General features: G+C 37.8%; 1 protein-coding gene across 6 annotated transcripts in view, besides 7 other annotated features; it reads left to right on the top strand.

Moving 5' to 3' along the window:
* ACE2 (angiotensin converting enzyme 2) overlaps positions 1–18,823 on the top strand; it is an 89,015-nt gene that overhangs the window by 21,377 nt on the left and 48,815 nt on the right. For 3 of the 6 annotated variants that reach the window (NM_001386259.1, NM_021804.3, NM_001371415.1), the window contains 9 exons: positions 263–360; positions 4,445–4,614; positions 7,520–7,746; positions 10,025–10,169; positions 12,370–12,468; positions 13,512–13,634; positions 14,039–14,211; positions 15,482–15,540; positions 18,009–18,109. In NM_001386259.1, the coding sequence (NP_001373188.1) occupies positions 263–360; positions 4,445–4,614; positions 7,520–7,746; positions 10,025–10,169; positions 12,370–12,468; positions 13,512–13,634; positions 14,039–14,211; positions 15,482–15,540; positions 18,009–18,109 (1,195 nt within the window). Of the gene's footprint in view, positions 1–262; positions 361–4,444; positions 4,615–5,414; positions 5,555–7,519; positions 7,747–10,024; positions 10,170–12,369; positions 12,469–13,511; positions 13,635–14,038; positions 14,212–15,481; positions 15,541–18,008; positions 18,110–18,823 lie in introns of those variants that run through there. The other 3 variants (NM_001389402.1, NM_001386260.1, NM_001388452.1) reach the window with 2 other exon arrangements.
* Positions 4,615–5,414: a promoter, noted in NCBI's record as "P3 promoter fragment used in the reporter gene construct". NCBI's record gives its function as "drives interferon-stimulated expression of an ACE2 short isoform (dACE2) in transfected HepG2 cells {active_cell/tissue: HepG2(+IFN-beta or +IFN-gamma)}" and the evidence as "EXISTENCE:reporter gene assay evidence [ECO:0000049][PMID:33077916]".
* Positions 4,615–5,438: a biological region, named in NCBI's record as "dACE2 interferon-inducible promoter region". NCBI's record gives its function as "regulatory_interactions: ACE2".
* Positions 5,121–5,228: a mobile genetic element.
* Positions 5,315–5,414: a transcriptional cis regulatory region, noted in NCBI's record as "100 bp region deleted in the P3.1 reporter construct compared to the P3 construct". NCBI's record gives its function as "necessary for interferon-responsiveness of the ACE2 P3 promoter in transfected HepG2 cells {active_cell/tissue: HepG2(+IFN-beta or +IFN-gamma)}" and the evidence as "EXISTENCE:reporter gene assay evidence [ECO:0000049][PMID:33077916]".
* Positions 5,315–5,438: a mobile genetic element.
* Positions 5,370–5,381: a nucleotide motif, noted in NCBI's record as "nucleotide_motif; -34 to -44 STAT1-gamma-IRE interferon-stimulated response element (ISRE) in the P3 promoter". NCBI's record gives the evidence for it as "EXISTENCE:motif similarity evidence [ECO:0000028][PMID:33077916]".
* Positions 5,382–5,395: a nucleotide motif, noted in NCBI's record as "nucleotide_motif; -22 to -33 STATs and ICS-ISG15 interferon-stimulated response element (ISRE) in the P3 promoter". NCBI's record gives the evidence for it as "EXISTENCE:motif similarity evidence [ECO:0000028][PMID:33077916]".

The following is an 18,823-nucleotide window of genomic DNA, read 5'->3' as shown; positions in this document are numbered from 1 at the left end:
GTTAAGTACACGAATATAGGAATAAAAGTGGAATTTAGTTACCAGTTAGTAGAAGTTCCTGAATGATGATCTTATATGATCTCTTTTGAAGCCAACACTAGGAATTACTAACAGCTTAATTTGTAATATTTTGTACCATGGATGGTAGATTATAGAAATCTCTTTCTAATTTACAGTGTCAATGATGGTCCATATATTTAATAAATTATGTCTACATTTCTGCTGTGTTGTCATATACTAACAGATTCTTTTTTAAATATAGGTGATATGTGGGGTAGATTTTGGACAAATCTGTACTCTTTGACAGTTCCCTTTGGACAGAAACCAAACATAGATGTTACTGATGCAATGGTGGACCAGGTAGGAAAAAGAGCCCTTAAAAACTAAATCTAAATTCTCAACTTCATTTATTTTTATGTCATCCTTCTATTTTTATTTTTATGTGAAACCATGTAAATAAAAAATTTAAGCTAATTGAAATTTATTTCTTATGTAGCTATAGTTTCATGGAAAAGCAGTTTACAATGGCCTCAGATAACTTGAATTGCAGGTGTAGTATTGATCTCATTGAAAGGTATTTGAAATGGAGATTACCTGAGTTTTCCATTAAGCGGTAAGATGTAGAATTGTCAACTGGTTGGTATCACTCATTCCAAAGTTTGTCATTGCTAAGTAACCAGCCAGTAATCTCTATGGATAGTAAAAACAAGAATATTATGAGGGGATTTTTGCATATTTAAAAAATTATTAGTGTTAAAAATATTACAAGAATCTTTAAAACAATTTTAAGTAACATCTTTATTACTACTTTGGTTTAATTATTTAAATGTGCTAGGTTCCTCAAAACACAAGTAAGTACATAGCCCATGGACCCAATAAAGCAACTACACAATCGAGACTACAAAGCAACCAGCTAACAACAGCATGACAGGAACGCTTCACCTAACAGACAGAGAGTGGCAAATTGGAGAGAAAAACAAAACCTAACCTTCTACTGTCTTCGAGATTCATCTCACGTGTAATGACACCCATGGGCTCAAAGTAAAGTGATGCAGAAAGATCTATCATGCAAATAGAAAACAAAAAAGAGCAGGGGGCTGCTATTCTTGTATCAGATAAAACAGACTTTAAACCAACAACAGTAAAAAAGGACAAAGAGGGTCATTACATAATGATAAAGGGTTCAATTTAACAAGAAGACTTAATTATCCTAAATATATATGCACCCAACATTGGAGTATCCAGATTCATAAACATAGCACTTTTAGACCTAGGAAAAGACTTAGACATCCAGAAAATAATAGTGGGGGACTTCATCACCCCACTGACAGTGTTATACAGATCATTGAGGCAGAAAACTAACAAAGAAATTCTGGAAATTCTGGACTTAAACTTGACACTTGACCAATTGAACCTAAGAGACATCTATAGAATATTCCACCCAACAGCTATGGAATATACATTCTTCTCATCTGTATACGAAACATACTCTAAGACTGGCAACATGCTCAGTCATAAAGCAAGTCTTAATAAATTCAAAAAATTAAAATTATGCCAAACATATTCTCAGACCACAGTAGAATAAAAATAGAAATCAATACCAGGAGGAACTCTCAAAACCATGAAATAACCTGGAAACTGAACAACTTATTGCTGAATGACTTTTGAGTAAACAATGAAATTAAGGCAGATATCAAAAAATTCTTTGAAACAAATGAAAACAGAGACACAGCATACCAACAACATATCTGGGATGTGGCAAAAGCAATGTTAAGAGGAATGTTTATAGTGCTAAATGCCTACATCAAGAACCTAGAAAGATATCAAATTAATAATCTAACACCACACTTAAAGGAACTAGAAAAACAAGAACAAACTAGTTCCAAAGCTAGAAAAAAAGAGATAACTAAAATCAGGGCAGAATTAATGAAATTGAGACCTAAAAAATCATACAAAGGATCAACAAAATGAAAAGTCAGTTTTTTAAAAGGATAAACAAGATGGAAAGACCTCTAGCTAGATTAACAGAGAAAGAGAGAAGATCCAAATAAGCACAATCAGAAATGACAAAGGTGACATTGCAACTGATCCCACAGAAGTACAAACCTTCCTATTGAGTACTATGTTCATATCTGGTTGATAGGACCAATAGAAACCCAACGTCAGTATCACACAATATACCCTTGTAACAAACCTGCACATGTACTCCCTGAATTTAAAATTAAAATTAAAATTAAAATTAAAAAATTATCAGGCCGGGCACGGTGGCTCACAGCTGTAATCCCAGCACTTTGGGAGGCCGAGGTGGGTGGATCACGAGGTCAGGAGATCGAGACCAGCCTGGCCAACATGGTGAAACCCCGTCTCTACTAAAAATACAAAAAAAAAAAAAAAATTAGCTGGGCATAGTGGTGTGCGCCTGTAGTCCCAGCTATTTAGGAGGCTGAGGCAGGAGAATCACTTGAACTCGGGAGGCAGAGGTTGCAGTGAGCCGAGATCATGCCACTGCACTCCAGCCTGGGTGACAAAGTGAGACTCTGTCTCAAAAAAAAAAATTCTCTGTGTTCCCTTCTGTTGATGAAATGGTATTATAGTTATAATTATGTATATTTGTTCATTCAACTAAAATTCTACGTTTCTGAGTAGAATATCTAATCATATTTCTATTTGCCTTATAAAATTTCTTCAGATAATTGCACCATAATTTACTATTTGTGCATTGCTGAACCTTTGCTTGTTAATAGTTTTACATCTGTAAGAAGCAATGCAATGAACATCTTCACATACATAACATACTCCTGGGAAAAGTCCACTGCAGAATAAAAAGTGAAACTGCAAGGGCCTCTAAACTCTTGTAGCTGTTGTAGCTCCACTTTGAAGTTGAGCAGCAGTATAGGGCCATCTTGATGTAGATTTTTAGTCTTTCTAAAGGGTTTTTACACCCGTCTCTTCTATTGTCATCTCTGACTCAGGATAGGTATTGTGACAGCTCCATGCTATAGGTGAGGAAACTGAGGCTCAGGTAAATGATTTGCCCAAAGTCACAAATCACACAGCCTCATTCTTTCTGTTTTTTTTGTACCAATTAACCATCCTCACCTGCCCCTGCCACCTTCCCACTACTCTTTCCAGCCTCTGGTAACCATCCTTCCACTCTGTATGTCCATGAGTTCAACTCTTTTGATTTTTAGATGCCATAAATAAGTGAGAACAAGTAATGTTTGTCTTTCTGTGCCTGGCTTATTTCACTTAATATAATGACCTTCGGTTCCATCTACGTTGTTGCAAATGGCAGGATTTCGTTTTTTTATGGCTGAATAGTATTCCAATTTGTATGTGTACCACATTTTCTTTATCCATTCATCTACTGATGGACACTTAGGTTGTTTCCAAATCTTGGTTATTGTGAATAGTGCTGCAACAAACATGGGAGTGCAGATATCTCTTCAAAATACTGATTTCCTTTCTTTTGGGTATATACCCAGCAGTGGAATTGTTGGATCATATGGTAGCTCTATTTTTACTTTTTTGAGGAACCTCCAAACTGTTTTCCATAGTGGTTGTACTAACTTACATTCCTTCCAACAGTGTAGGAGGGTTCCCTTTTCTCCACACCCTCATCAGCATTTGTTATTGCCTGTCTTTTGGATATAAACCAAAAAATTTTTCATAAATATAATTTGGGTGGCTGCACATTATTCTATTTTTCAAAGGTATCATTATTTATTTAACCATTCTGATGTTCGTTTCAACTTTTTCTCTATTAAAAATAATTCTCAATGTAATTGTTGAATCTAATTTCTGATAATTTTTTAGGTTAGTTCCTTAGAGACAGCATTACTGAGACAAAGAGAAGAATTTCAAATGCTATCCGTGTGTGTTATCAAATTACCTTTTGGAAAGGTTATGCCAATGTATATATCCAACAGAAATAATGCTGCTATTTTAAAAATGACATTAGCACTTTTTTCCATTTTAAAATTTTATTGTAAATTGACATTTATTATTGTATATATTTATGGGGTACAAGGTGATTTCATGATTTATGAATACAATGAAAAATAAATAAAGCTAATTAACATATCAATTACTTCACATACTTTTTTTGCAGTGAGAACATTTGAAATTTACTCTCTTAGCAATTTCAAAATGTACAATGTTCTATTATTAACTATATTTACTATGCTGTGCAGTAGATCTCAAAAAAATAAAACCAACTTATTCATCCTGTTTGAGACTTTGTACGCTTTGACCATCATCTCCCCGTTGCCCCCACCCCATAGCCTCTGTAACCACCATTCTACTCTCTGCTTCTACCAGTTCCATTGTTTTAGATTCCACACATAAGTGAGAACATGTGGTATTTGTTTTTCGGTGCCTGGCTTATTTAATTTAAGAATGCTGTTGTTTTGATGCTGGAATTAATACTGTTCTCTTTTCCCAGGCCTGGGATGCACAGAGAATATTCAAGGAGGCCGAGAAGTTCTTTGTATCTGTTGGTCTTCCTAATATGACTCAAGGATTCTGGGAAAATTCCATGCTAACGGACCCAGGAAATGTTCAGAAAGCAGTCTGCCATCCCACAGCTTGGGACCTGGGGAAGGGCGACTTCAGGTAGTGGGGCTGATACTTACACAACTGATACTAAATGGGAGACAACAGAGGCAGGCTGAAGTTTAACTTGAATTCTTTCTCTGCTTTTCTGAGCACAGAAAAGATAAGTTAATTCTCCTTGAACTAAGGCTGGGAGTCCAGGAGAGCACATTTGGGTTTTCCCAGGAAAAGAGGATTGCCAGCAGGCTCTAACTTGAACCTGTGGACAATCTGCTTTCTTGGAAATATCATGCATCCATTGGCGTTGTATGGTAATGGGGATGGTTGCACCCATATCAGGAAAGATTTGGTGCTAAGATTTTTGGAAGATGGACATATGAATCACACATTGATCTTCCCCTCCATGTTTCACTCTTGTGAATGAGACAGAATAGGTGAATAAATACGCTTGGATCGAAGGGAGAAAGTGGTACATGTCGTAAGAGAGACACAGGGCATGCTCTATGGAGAACTGGAAGAAAACTGACCACATTTGCAATAGGAGATAGGATCAGACCGTGCTTTACAAGTGGGATTTGAATTAGGTTTGGAAAGACAAGAAGGATTCAGATACACAGAGTCGGGAGGAGGACCCAAGCTGTGAGAACAGCAGGATCAAATACAGAGAGGCAGGACCTGACCTGCATACTGAAGTCGGCAAGTTAGGCTAGAATGAGAAATAAGTGAAGGAGAGTTTGTGTAATGTGGCAGAATGAGCACAGGCTTCAGAATCCTAGGTGTGTCACTTAATGACTATGCAACCTTGGACAAGGTATTTAACTTTCTTTGGTTTCAGTTTCCTTATTTTATAAAGTAGAATAGTAATTCCCAGGTTGCAGGCTTGTGAGAGCCTTAGGTTGGATTCCCTAGCTTGAAAAGGAGATCGTTTTACAAGTGCTTCATTGAGGAGAGCTCTGAGGCAGAGGGGAATGAGGGAAGCAGGCTGGGACAAAGGAGGGAGGTAAGTAAGAATGTGATCTTTACTGGAAACTTGGCCTCAGCCTTATCCCATGAAGCTCTCTGGAGCATAACTTGAGCCACAGACTAGGCCACACCTCAAGACAAGGGGGCTAGCCTTTTATATCAGGCAGTCTTTGGCTGTGGACTGCCCCAGAGTATGGGGGAGCATAACCCCCATTTAGCCAAAGGCAGTGAAGGGAGCAGCTGTAGGCCCTTATCAGCTGTGACTCAGGCAGCTAGGGGATGGTGGATAAAGTCTTGGCAGGCCCGCACCAGCATTGACTAGGGTAGGGATTGGATCTACAGTCCTTTTCTGTAAAGGGCCAGATAGTAAATAGTTTAAGCTTTGCAGATCTCTGTTACAACTACTCAGCTCTGCCTTTGTGACATGAAAACAGCCATAGACAATACACAAACCAATGGATGTGGCTGTGTGCCAATAAAAATTTATTTATAAAAACAATGGCTGGCCAGCAGGCCATAGTTTACTGATGCCAGTACTAGAGTGAGGCTTAAAAATGAGAAAGTATAAGTAAGTTTTCAAGCACAGAATCTTACATACAGTAGGCGGTAAATATATAGTAGTTATTTTTATAATTATTTCAAAAGAGAATAGAGAGAAACCAAATTAGAAAAGTAGGTTGGGGTTGTGAAAGGAAAATAGATTTACTGAGCATGAGATGAATACATAACTGAATATTTCCTTACCTTCCCCCTTTCTCTTGCAATGTGTGAATTACCATGCCCTCCCACTATCCTCTCCAGCTCACTTTTCTCCTATAAATGTTGAAGCCCTCAAAATTATTTTTGGAGAAAGGCACAAACCACAGACTGTTTCTATAAATTCTGTGTTCTTTTCTTCTGGGCATGTTCTTAACCTTGGCAAAATAAACTTGTGAATTGATTGAGACCTATCTCAAATAGTTTTTGGTTTACAGGGTCATATTGGTGTATAAAAGGTGGCTGAGTTTATTCTTGAGCAATGAGGAGGCCTCGCAGGATATTGGAGGGGGTGGTGACATGATCCAAGTGGTATGAAATACATTTAGGAATCTACTGATGTATGACCCCTACACCCATCTGAATGAAAATGCTCTTGCTAAGTTAAAAAGGACCACCATCTCATTGCCAAATGCAGTTCTTATCCCACTGGGCTATAGCAGCATTAGACAAGATTTACAAGTTGTCTTTCAAATGCTTTTTTTTTTTAACCGACTTCCACATTGTCATTCTTTTCCAGATTTCCTTGACCTCTCTGATTGTACTTTCTCCGTCTCCCCTGAATAATCTTCCTCTCCCCACTCCTTAGGTACTTGGACCTTCTAAAGGTTTATCTTTGGTCCTCTTTTCTTGCATTCTATTCCTGTTCCATGGCCCATCATATCTATTTCCCAACTTACATGCTAATGATTCCCAAGTTTCAATTTGCAGCCCCTTCTACTATTTCTCTATCCTGGCAATACCAAACAGCGTGCAGTGTCCTGAATGCCACATTTCCACCCCCCTGCCCCTAAGCCTTTCTCATTGAGCACTAGAACGTCAACTTCCATGTCATCTACCGGGCAAACTCCTGCACATTGATTAAGGTCCAAATTGCTCATTGTATCCTCAGTCATGCCCTTCTTGGTGCTTCTAGGGAACTGTGCCTACATTCACTCATTTTTACGCTCAAGGCTGTGTGTACTGATCACTTATAGAGTACTTGCCTCAGAGTTCTTGTAGCGGAGAACTCTGCTTATCTGTCTTCCTGTTAGTCTATGAGCAAGAGAACAGGATTCAGCTGTGCCCATTGCTTTATATTGAGCAACTAGTATTGTCTCTAGGACATAAGAGGTGGGTACTCAAGATTCACTGGTGAATAAATCTTGGAAAGATGATTCATGCTACCAAAACCCCATACAACTCCACTGTAATGGTTAAATGAAAGTCAGTGAGATTCATTTTCATCTTGTCCATTTTCATGCAGGATCCTTATGTGCACAAAGGTGACAATGGACGACTTCCTGACAGCTCATCATGAGATGGGGCATATCCAGTATGATATGGCATATGCTGCACAACCTTTTCTGCTAAGAAATGGAGCTAATGAAGGATTCCATGAAGCTGTTGGGGAAATCATGTCACTTTCTGCAGCCACACCTAAGCATTTAAAATCCATTGGTCTTCTGTCACCCGATTTTCAAGAAGACAATGGTATGGACATTTTCTCATGGCTTGTTTTGGAGGTTCTTTAATCTGATATGGGAAAAGGTATTTATTATGTAGGAAATATTTACTTTTTGCCACATAAGGTATGAGGTATTTATGGGTAACTGGAAATTACTACTGGTGAAAAAATTTAAGTATATATCAGAACATGTCAACTTTTGGTTTTGTATTATTGAAAAGGGAATAAGAGAGGTAACTGAATGAATGGACTTGGGATCCTGTGAAATATCTAACAGAAGTTTTTTTCTTAAAGATGATGAAACAGTCTCACAGAACTGAAATGGCTTGTCCAATTAGTGTCAGCATTCTAACTAGACCCCTCTGGTTCTAGGTAAAAACTTCCCAAAACTTTAGAGTTGGAATATATTCTAAAAACCATTTTATAGAGGAGTAAACTGAAGACAAGAGAGGGAAAGTAGCCCGAAGTCAAAACGCAATGTAGTGGCGGAACCAGAACAAGAGCCCTAATCTAAAGTCTTTTCCATAATATTATGCAAAGCAAAGTGTAGCTTTAAATTTTGGAATTCTTAAAGAACAGGTGTTTAATATCAAGATTAGAAGGGATTGAAACATTTTGTTCATCCTGCTGAAGCGTGAATTTCCCCTGTAACATCCCCTTAGATCTGTGCTATCCTTCAACATTTCTGCCTGAGGCAGCCCATTTCCTTTTAGATGCCTTGGACTTGATGGAACATGACAAATGTTCAGGAGATCCAATTTCTTCAGTGAGGATGCCATGGCTTTTGATTCTTCCTCATAAATGGAGGACAAATAGAGCCTAATACCTTCTTCTCTTCTGTATATTCTCTCCCCTATTTTTAGTTATTTGTGACATAAAGATCAGCTCCTCTGTCTGGAGCATTTGGTCGATGAGGTCAAGGTCATGAGCTCCATCCTTGAGTAGACAATTCACTTTGCCTTGATCTCTGGTTCCAGATACTTGGTGATCCCACAAGGGCCTGGGAGTGAGCCAGTGTAAAGCCTATCATCATGTTTGAAATAGTTACTGTAAGCACAGTCCTAGTGGATTACAGACCAGTAGCAGCATCCTCCCATGAAGACAGTAACAAACAAAGGTAGTTAACAGTAACCATACCTGCTTCCTAATTTTAAAATATCATTAATTCAAGTCAATGAACAGATATTTTATTATTTTTAAATATTCCCTGACAGCAGGTAAAAATGGTTGATGACTATGTTTCTTAAGATGATATTAGATCAGTGATGAAATAATCTGTACAACAAACCCCATGACACGAGTTTACCTATATAATAAACCTGGACACATACCCCTAAACCTAAAATAAAAGCTTTTTTTGTTTTTTTTTATAAAAAAGATAGTATTAGACATGGTTAAACCACCGGTTTGGAAAACTCCTGCTTTTTTTCTTGACTCTGCCCCTGATTTGTGAATAATGTTAAATAAATTCCTTTATTCCTTCCATTCCTCCCTCCCTCTTTCTCTTTCTTTCTTCTTCCAAACATATTTATCGAGCACATACTGTGTGCAAGACATTTTTCTAGACACTGGAGACACAGTGATGTGAAAAGTAGATAACATCCCCTGCTTACATTTCAATGCATTTCCTTCATACACTAGAGATGAACTCCACTGCCTCTTTATGTCACTAATAAAGGATAAAATGAAATAACATGATTTGTTAAAGCATTTTAAATTCTTGGTAAGGAAGATATCCTTACATTTAAAGTACATTGTACTTTTCACCATCCAGTGGATAGTGCCCTCCAGGAGGGCTCTTTTGTTTCATTTCCCCTCCCTGGTTTACAGGCTTTTCACTGAATCTGTTTAGTATTTGTTTATTTAACAAAGACTCACAGAAGGCATCACGTAGCAGACATGGGACTAAGTTATACAGTCTTAAATGAGACATTAACAGTCACTGACTTCATGGAGCTTTCCAGAATAAACAGTGTGACTGGGAAAGTGGATGAAATAGCTCTAATGAACTCTGATAAGAGGTATTTAAGGGAGGAAACTGAAACTAATGAAGAAAATGAGGATTAGAAGTAACTTTGGGTTTTATTTACCTGTTCTGTTCCAGGGCTTCAACCTACTCCAAATCCCTTAGCTGAGAAAATAAATATATACATATCATTATGAATACTGTCAATTTTTCTCATGTATCCTTATAGTAAGTACATCTTGAGGAATAATATTTTGAGGTTAGGAAAATTCTCTTTAACACAAAACATCCACTGTCATCTTCATCGTAATATTTATCCTTTTCTATTTTACTTTCAGAAACAGAAATAAACTTCCTGCTCAAACAAGCACTCACGATTGTTGGGACTCTGCCATTTACTTACATGTTAGAGAAGTGGAGGTGGATGGTCTTTAAAGGGGAAATTCCCAAAGACCAGTGGATGAAAAAGTGGTGGGAGATGAAGTAAGTCAATGAATATGCAATCAGTAAAATGTTTTCTAATGAGTTTGCTGTGTATTTAAAAGCATTTGACTGGCGTGTACACACACACACAGAGGCACACATTAACTAACTACTTTTTGTATTTTTAGTTTGTTATATTTTATATTTTAGTCTCCATTTGGATACCATCTCCTCAGATAAAATTTCCTTGGGTCAGGTGACACTACTTCATACTCTATATTCTTAAGTATTGGCTTACTCATTAAACTATGATATTATGTTGAAAGTGATCAATTTATTCATTTTACATATTCTTTTATCCAGCCTTTTAAACAAAACGGTGACCCCACATTTTAGGCAAAGCACTGGGGATCCAATGTTAATAATTTCAGGTATGGTCCTCAACCCCAAAAAACGTTTAGTTTATGGCAGGATGTGGAAAATTAAACCACTGCAATTTGTAGTGTTGTGATGGGAGGGTACAGGGTCCGTTAGCGTCCAGGGGAGATCCAAAGCCCAACTGGGGGTGTCAGATGAGGAGAGGCATTTAAGCCCTGAGAAAGGTGTGGGTGTAGAGGGGAACACAGAGAATTCCAAGCTAGAGAGAACCTGACACATTTGGGCAACAGTGACCATTTCCATGGTTGCAGCACTACGTTACTTATTGCTGTGTCACAAGTGCCTCACACTGTGCCTGTCACATGCAAGTATGAAATAAATAGGTTTTTGGAGGAAGGAATTATAAGAGAAAAAGAAAAAGAAGGAAAAAAAGAAAGGAGAGAGGGAGGGAGAGAATGGAAACAAGAAAGAAATCTATCTTCTTTTTACCATCATAGACCCTGGTCAATTATTTCTTTCTTTATTTTTCTTATATTTTCTTTTTGAAGTGAAGAACTCATGTGTAACAAGCAGTTCCACATGCACAGGTTTAAAACAGTACACTTCTTCTGTCAAGATTCTCTCTGTTAACATAAATCGTACTTGGGAGGAAAGACGCAGCACCTATAAGAACTGTTGCCAGTGTTTAAATATTACTGAAGTTATGTCTACAATGATCCTGCAATTTTAAAGGAAAAATGTATTCCATTTAATCAAAGCCAAATACATGATTTTGCTACCTTTTTTTCTGGTTGGATTAATCTTTTGACCCCTCTTAGCTTATTTTAAAGGCACATGGAATCAGATCCTTAGAGTGATTCATTAATGCATCAATTGTTCCTTTGTTCAGTAAATATAAATTAATTCTTTCTGTAGTGTCAGGCACCATGTTTGACACTGGAATTAGAGAGAAGACCAAGACACAGCCCCACCCTCTAGGAGCTCAAGTCTCTAGGGCAGGAAGTTACTATAGTTGAATAACTACAAAACGGGGAGATAAATGGCAAAGGAGGCACAACTAGAGAAGGCTAAAGGAGATTGAGGGGTTAATTCTGCCAGAAGGTGGATGGGATCAGGGCCAGGCTTCACAGAGGAGGGAACACTTGAGCTAGGTAGGCGTGGAGAATAAGTAAGATTTCAATTTTATTAAATTCTCTCTGCCAGGAGTACATGAAGTGTGGTGCCTGAGAGGAATTATTAGGGCTTTCACTGTACATTTTTGGCCATGCAATGCACTTTATGAATGTTATTAAATTAGTCTTTTGAAGACATAGCTATTTTCCAAGGGTATATTCTGGCTGAATTAATTAAAACTAAGAGATAACTACATAATGAGCTTTACTGTCTGATTTTTTAAAAATTTTTATTTATTTTTTATTTTTGTAGGTGATTTTTTTTTACATTGTTTCTATTTCACCCAACAACCATTTCTAATGTAAATACCATTGATTGGCTGGACACGGTGGCACCTGTAATTCCAGCATTTTGGGAGGCCGAGGTGGGCAGATCACTTGAGGCCAGGAGTTCGAGACCAGCCTGGCCAACATGGTGAAACCCTGTCTCTATTAAAAATACACAAATTAGTTAGATGTGGTGGTGCACACCTATAAACCAAGCTACTTGGGAGGCTGAGATGGGAGAATCGCTTGAACCTGGGAGGCGGAGGTTGCAGTGAGCCAAGATCGTGCCACTGCACTACAGCCTGGGTGACGGAGTGAGACCCTGTCTCAAAAAAAAAAAAAAAAAATTTGATTGATGAAACTGCACTAGTTATGCCCACCTGCTTGTGATGCTTGTGATGGGTGATCCACAGCTAATGTATTGTTTTCTTTTCTCCCCAAAGGCGAGAGATAGTTGGGGTGGTGGAACCTGTGCCCCATGATGAAACATACTGTGACCCCGCATCTCTGTTCCATGTTTCTAATGATTACTCATTCATTCGGTAAATTACAGTTTTCTTGTTTCTGTTTAACTTCTAGGGTTTGTGGACAGCTGTGCTAATAACGACAAAAAGTAGGGATAAATGAAGTGATAATTATAATTTTTCTATTTCCACCCATAACTACCAAGCTCAATACAGATGCTCCTTGCTTTACAATGGGGTTACATCCCAATAAACTCATCATAAGTTGAAAATACCTTAAGAATGCGCTGAATACACCTAACCTATGGTACACCAAAGCATAGCCTAGTCTACCCTAAACATGCTCAGAACACTCACATTAGCCTACTGTTGGGCAAAATCATCTAACACAAACCTTATTTTATAATAAAGTGTTCAATATCTCATGTAATTATTTAATACTGTGCTGAAAGTGAAAAACTTTGGGTACTTACCATTAACATATACAGCTGAAAGCGCTATTGTAAAGTCGAAAAATCAAAAGTCCAACCGTTGTAAGTTGGGAACTGTCTGTATAGATGATCAATTTCAATTCAATTTAAACTAACACAATTTATTGGGTTAAATTAAACTTGTGTAAGATCTTGTCCCCGTCATCAGCAATCAATAGTATCATTGGGAGAAATAAAAAGTAGTTTTGTCTTCTTGTTACTGGCAGTTTATTGTACATTGTGATAGAGAATTTTTAACTTGAAGTCCAAAAACATATGTTCTTCACCTAGTAACCCCAGTCCTTGAATTTGCTGGAGCTCAGTTTATTTGTAAAATGAAAATAATATTATCGACCTGTTATAAGGATGGATTTGCATCATTTATGTGAAAGGGCTATTAATCTGTAAAACACAAAACAAATGTTAGCTAACATTTAACAGAGTAATATTGCCATGTTTATCAACAGATACATAAAACACAAATAGGTTATGATGAGTGTAGAGTTCATGTCTGGAGAAAGAGATTTCAGAGATTTGATCAGTATCTCTTTGGTTACTTGGGCTCCAGATTTAAATATATGCCCTAATCTATAACTCTAAGACAGTAAGTAAACACGGGACTGCTTTTTTGTTGCTTTGTCTCCTGTGCAGATATTACACAAGGACCCTTTACCAATTCCAGTTTCAAGAAGCACTTTGTCAAGCAGCTAAACATGAAGGCCCTCTGCACAAATGTGACATCTCAAACTCTACAGAAGCTGGACAGAAACTGTTGTAAGAAATACCTCAAAATGTTGAACCTCTCCTAGTATTCAGTATTACTCATTTCCATGCCTAGGTTTGTATTTGATTTCTTTGTTCTAAAAAGAAAATTTTATGGCCTCAAAATGTCCTCATTTACAAACCAAACATTTAATTTGTGGTCAGACAGGAACCTAGACCATACAACAATTGGGTGGGCCACCTCTTTTCTCCCTATCATAACTACAGCCCTCTCTTCCTGGTAATTGGAAGGAAAGAGCGGTTTAGGGTGGAATATATCTGTTAATATGCATTCTTTTCTTATCTGCCAGAAGCAAATTTAGCCAAGTCAAAGAGAAGAAACCATAGATCATAGATGTAAATATATGTACATCTGGAACCCCTCAAAAGGCCCTGAACCCCCTTTTTTTGTGTAGCAATATGCTGAGGCTTGGAAAATCAGAACCCTGGACCCTAGCATTGGAAAATGTTGTAGGAGCAAAGAACATGAATGTAAGGCCACTGCTCAACTACTTTGAGCCCTTATTTACCTGGCTGAAAGACCAGAACAAGAATTCTTTTGTGGGATGGAGTACCGACTGGAGTCCATGTGAGTACACCCAGTTGACAAGTTTCACACCCATTCCTTGTCTACTTCGTCTAGTCTCCTTTGGCCCCAGTCTCATGAGGACTTGTGACACAGCTGAGAATGTTTCTTTCTCTATAGTACCTGCTTCTTTCTCTGCTATGGTGACAGCTGCCATTTTATGGGAGAAAAATCACAACTGTTGAGCACCTATGTATGAGACATAGTGAAAGCAACTGTACAGACAAACACACACAGATGCATGCACATGTGTGCATACACATACAAGAGTGTGTACTCTTTCAAGTCTGTTTTATTAGTCTCATCTTTAAAATACATATTATAACTGTCTCCAACCAACTGTACTCGAATCCTGCTTTCCAAAGACAAATACTTTTTTTAAAACAATTTTAATGCTATTATCTCTTCTTTCTGGCAGTCACTTTCATATTTCTAAATAATTTTCTTATATTGCTATTTTGTTATTGCTCAGTTTTAAACCTTCGTTTTGGTCTACTCTTCCACTTCCATTTCTTGCTCTTCCAATAAGGCCTTATAATGATTTTTAGTAAAACAGTTATCAATGTTTACATCACTATGCCTGAAGAGCCAAGTAATGTATTATTTTGTGTCCTTTCTTATGTGGCTTGTTGTTTGTCTCAAAGTTTCTACTTGCCTGAATTTTTCGGCTTACCTAATTTGCTATCTACGTTGTATTTGTTTTTCTCCCAAATATTTCAACATATCTATTCTTTTCAGTCTCATTTTTTTTCCCTAGAGACTTCCCTCTTGGAGTCTTATATTCTCCTTTCCCAACATTTGTTGTTCTCCTGGGTTGAATCCACTGCTTCCTAGATTCCATGTCTTCTTTCTTGGATTACCTCTTGTTTTTCTGGAGCATAGCCTCCCACAGACTGTCCAAGCAGGGGCACAAGGGGTAGGAGGATCAACTGTTCTCCAAAGTGGTTTTAACCACACCCTGACTTCCATTCCTCTTCTTTTCAGCCCAGTATTATTTTCCCACCCTCACCTGTGCTTGAATTCCAAACCTCTTTTGGATTTTTTGGCTCTTTGTGGGTCTGTGCCTCCTCTGTGTACAAATTAGGTCATGGCTTCCTGTCCCTGAGAAAGCAGTTACCCCTGTCTCATCATTTCTCGTTTTCCAAAAGCCTGTTGATACCTTTAAAAGATCCCTTTACTATCACTTTAGTGGGATCTTTGGAGGAAAAGGAAATAAGCACATGTGGGCAATCTGTTGTCTGTAACCAGCAGTCTGCTATTTCTCTTTAATCAGATGCAGACCAAAGCATCAAAGTGAGGATAAGCCTAAAATCAGCTCTTGGAGATAAAGCAGTGAGTATTCTGGACAGTGAATTGATTATTTTTGAGTGCACAGTCTTCACTTAAATAGGACACAATAAACCCATTTCAGTGTGAACTGAAAGAAGAGAGGCCATGTGGTTCTTTTCAAAACTATAAGTTCCAGATTCTGGCCTTTGGCTTTGGGTTTTTAAAGTAACCTATTCCTTATTGGATAAGCTATTCCTACTTCTTATTGCCTTGAAGGTGTTATGAACTTCAATGAGAAAATATCTGTATCAATCCTTAAATATCAGATACCAATCCTTTCAATTGACTCTCGTCACCATTACTTTTATTCTAGAAAGAGAATATGGTTATATTTTGAAAGGTAGTTTGTTTTTAGAAGCGGTACAGTTAGGTTTTTTTAGTTTGTTTTGTTTTAGTCAATCACCTGTATCCTGGCTTCACTCAGAGTGTGGCCCATGGTCCAGCAGCATTTGAATCACCTGGAAGCTTGTTAAAAATGCGTAATTTCAAGCCTAGCCCTGGACCACTTAATCAGAATCTGCATTTTAGCAAGCCTCCAGGTGATTTGTACGTACAATCAAGACTGGGAAGCTCTAATTTAGAACACTGCTTCTCAAACTTGGCTGCACAGTGGAATCACATGGGAAGTTTAAAAAATATTAATGCCTAGGTTATACACCTCCAGAGATTCTGATTTAATTGTTCTGGGGTATGGAGTCAAGAGTTGGGCATCAAGAGTGTTTAAAGCTCCCCAGGTGATTCTAGTCACAGCAAAGTTTGAGAACCACTTATTTAGGGAAATGCATTTTGGGGGTAACAAAATATTTTACAGGAAATTATGTTATTTACACCTTAATGTGAATTATTTACTTAGCTATTGCTCTGTCGTTAACACCTGTCTCAGATGATCCAGTCTGAGGAAGTGGTAGCTTTGATTGGGAAAGAGGAGAGGAAAGAGTAGTCTCGGGTAGATGGGGCTCAAAAGCCTGAGAGTGGGTATGACACCCTGAAGGCTTTGCAGGGTTAGAAGTCAATCTGGGACTATTGGATAAAATGGTCCAAGATGCTACAGCAAATTGTTGTCTGCATTGGATAGATCCAAAGATTGTGTTTCTACCCCCTTACCTTTCCTGAAAAGTTAAACATTGTCCAAGATTCAATAACACTTTTAGTATAATTTTCATAGTTAAGACATCAAAACATAAATAACTCAGGAGTAAAAAGATGAACATTCAAGAAAGAAAAAATGAAAATGGAAGTGCATTTCTTTCCAATCATTAAGAGTTCAAGTTCCTATTTCATAATAATCATTGGGTGATTGTGGGACTATTTCTCTGTCATATTTTTATTAGCTCTTCCTTGGCTTAATACATTTTAATTAGTCTCGGCAGATCAGGATATTTTCAATTATCTTTTTTCTTGACATTTATACTCATCCTCTTTCCATGCAGTGAGGGTTGGTAAATAGTGTTCAGGGGGTTTGATTCTGTAATGTTCTGAGGCCAATTCACTGAGCAACAATCTGTTTTGATGAAACGAGATCATATATTTAGTGCATCTACACAACAGGGTCAGAATATCTGCTCAGTTCAAACTATTTCATGGTGAATTCCAATGGATCTATGGCATTATTTTGAGAACTCAGCCTTTAAAATCTTTTATATTTTATATTTATAGAGATAGTAGCCAGACTGTTATTAGTAACAATATTAATAATATTATTACTATTAAAGGAACTCCTCTAAACCTCGGTGAAACCAAGCTGAAGTGAATGTAACAATTCTTTTGTGAAATATTATAATTTTTTAAAGGGAAAGGAGAAACATACAACTAGTGCCATTCATTGATTCCTACTGCCAGCTACTGGAGGAAAGAGTGAATGCTTTCTTTTAAGTCTTTAAAAGCTATGCAAACATAAGCTATTTGTTTAGCACTGGAAAACAAGAACAAACAGATTAGCTTGCTGTTTACAAAGTGTTATTTTTCATTTGAATGTCAAGTTTTTCTTTTACACTTATAGATAAGTACATTTCTGAGAACGTACCATAAAAATAGTAAAAACTGATTTTGTCCACAAGGTACAGACATTTTGCTACAAAACCCACAACTTTTGTTTGACTCCCATCGGTAAACCTACACTCAAGGTGTTAATTTCAGTTTACATCAAACTAAAGTAAAAGGACCCGTGAACCCAATGGTTCCTAAAGCATGGTTGCCTGACCAGCAGCATTACCACCACCTGGGAGTTTGTTAGAGATGTAAATTATTGGGTTTCATCTCGGGCTTCCTGAATCAGACGCTCTAGGGGTGGACCCAGCACTCAGTGTTGTAACTAACCCTTCAGGTGATACGGATGCACACTTACATTGAAGGTCACTGACTTAATGAATAGCAAGAATCTCTGGAATATTAAGAATAATTCTTGAGGAGTATCAGATTATAAATGTGTCTTACGAGTCCCTCTGAGCAGTGTCTTTCTTCTGAATTTGCAGTATGAATGGAACGACAATGAAATGTACCTGTTCCGATCATCTGTTGCATATGCTATGAGGCAGTACTTTTTAAAAGTAAAAAATCAGATGATTCTTTTTGGGTGAGTTGATTTGCTGGGTTCTCAAATTACTCCAACTAGGATTTCTCTTACTCTTGAGTCTGAGGAGATACTCTGCCTAAACTTTTCTTCAAGTGAAATTGATAAAAATCTCCTAGTAACTTATACTTCTTTGGTATTGTGGAATTTGGGTGACTCCATAGAGGGCTGATCGTGCCTTATTTGACTGGTAAATTGCAAGAGTATTGTTCTTACTAAACAGCTGTCACTCTCTTCTCAGAATGCTCTCATACACCCTCAGCACTGAAAGAAAAAAAAGGCAGAACTTCCTGCCTTCATTGACCTATATTCTAGTATGTATGTTGTGTATGTGTCTATGTGTGTAATATGTAAGTGAAATATAGAGTTACAAGGTACTAAGTGCTAGGAGAAAAATATAAAAGGGTCTGGGGAGGGCTGGTGTGTGTGTGTGTGTGTTGGGCAGGGGGTAGGTCAATTTTAACCAAAATGGTCAGAAAAGACGTCACTAATACTTGAACAAGTATATGAAGCAGGAGAGAGGGAGAGAGAGAGCGAGAGAGCGAGAGAGCGAGAGCGAGAGCCAGCAATGCAGACAATGGGGAAAGTGTCTCAGCTGGGGGAAACAGCAGGTGCAGACCCTGAGGAAGGAATATCCTCAGCCTGTTAAAGGAACAGCAAGGAGGCCAGTGTGGCTGGAGCAGATTAGAAGACAAGTGGAGACATGGCCAGGACGAT

The sequence above is a fragment of the Homo sapiens genome, chromosome X (genome assembly GCF_000001405.40).
Source record: "Homo sapiens chromosome X, GRCh38.p14 Primary Assembly".
In the NCBI taxonomy this organism is placed as follows: Eukaryota; Metazoa; Chordata; class Mammalia; order Primates; family Hominidae; genus Homo; species Homo sapiens.
The sequence above is the reverse complement of the archived record's forward strand: the minus strand, read 5'-3'. Positions and strand labels throughout refer to the sequence as shown.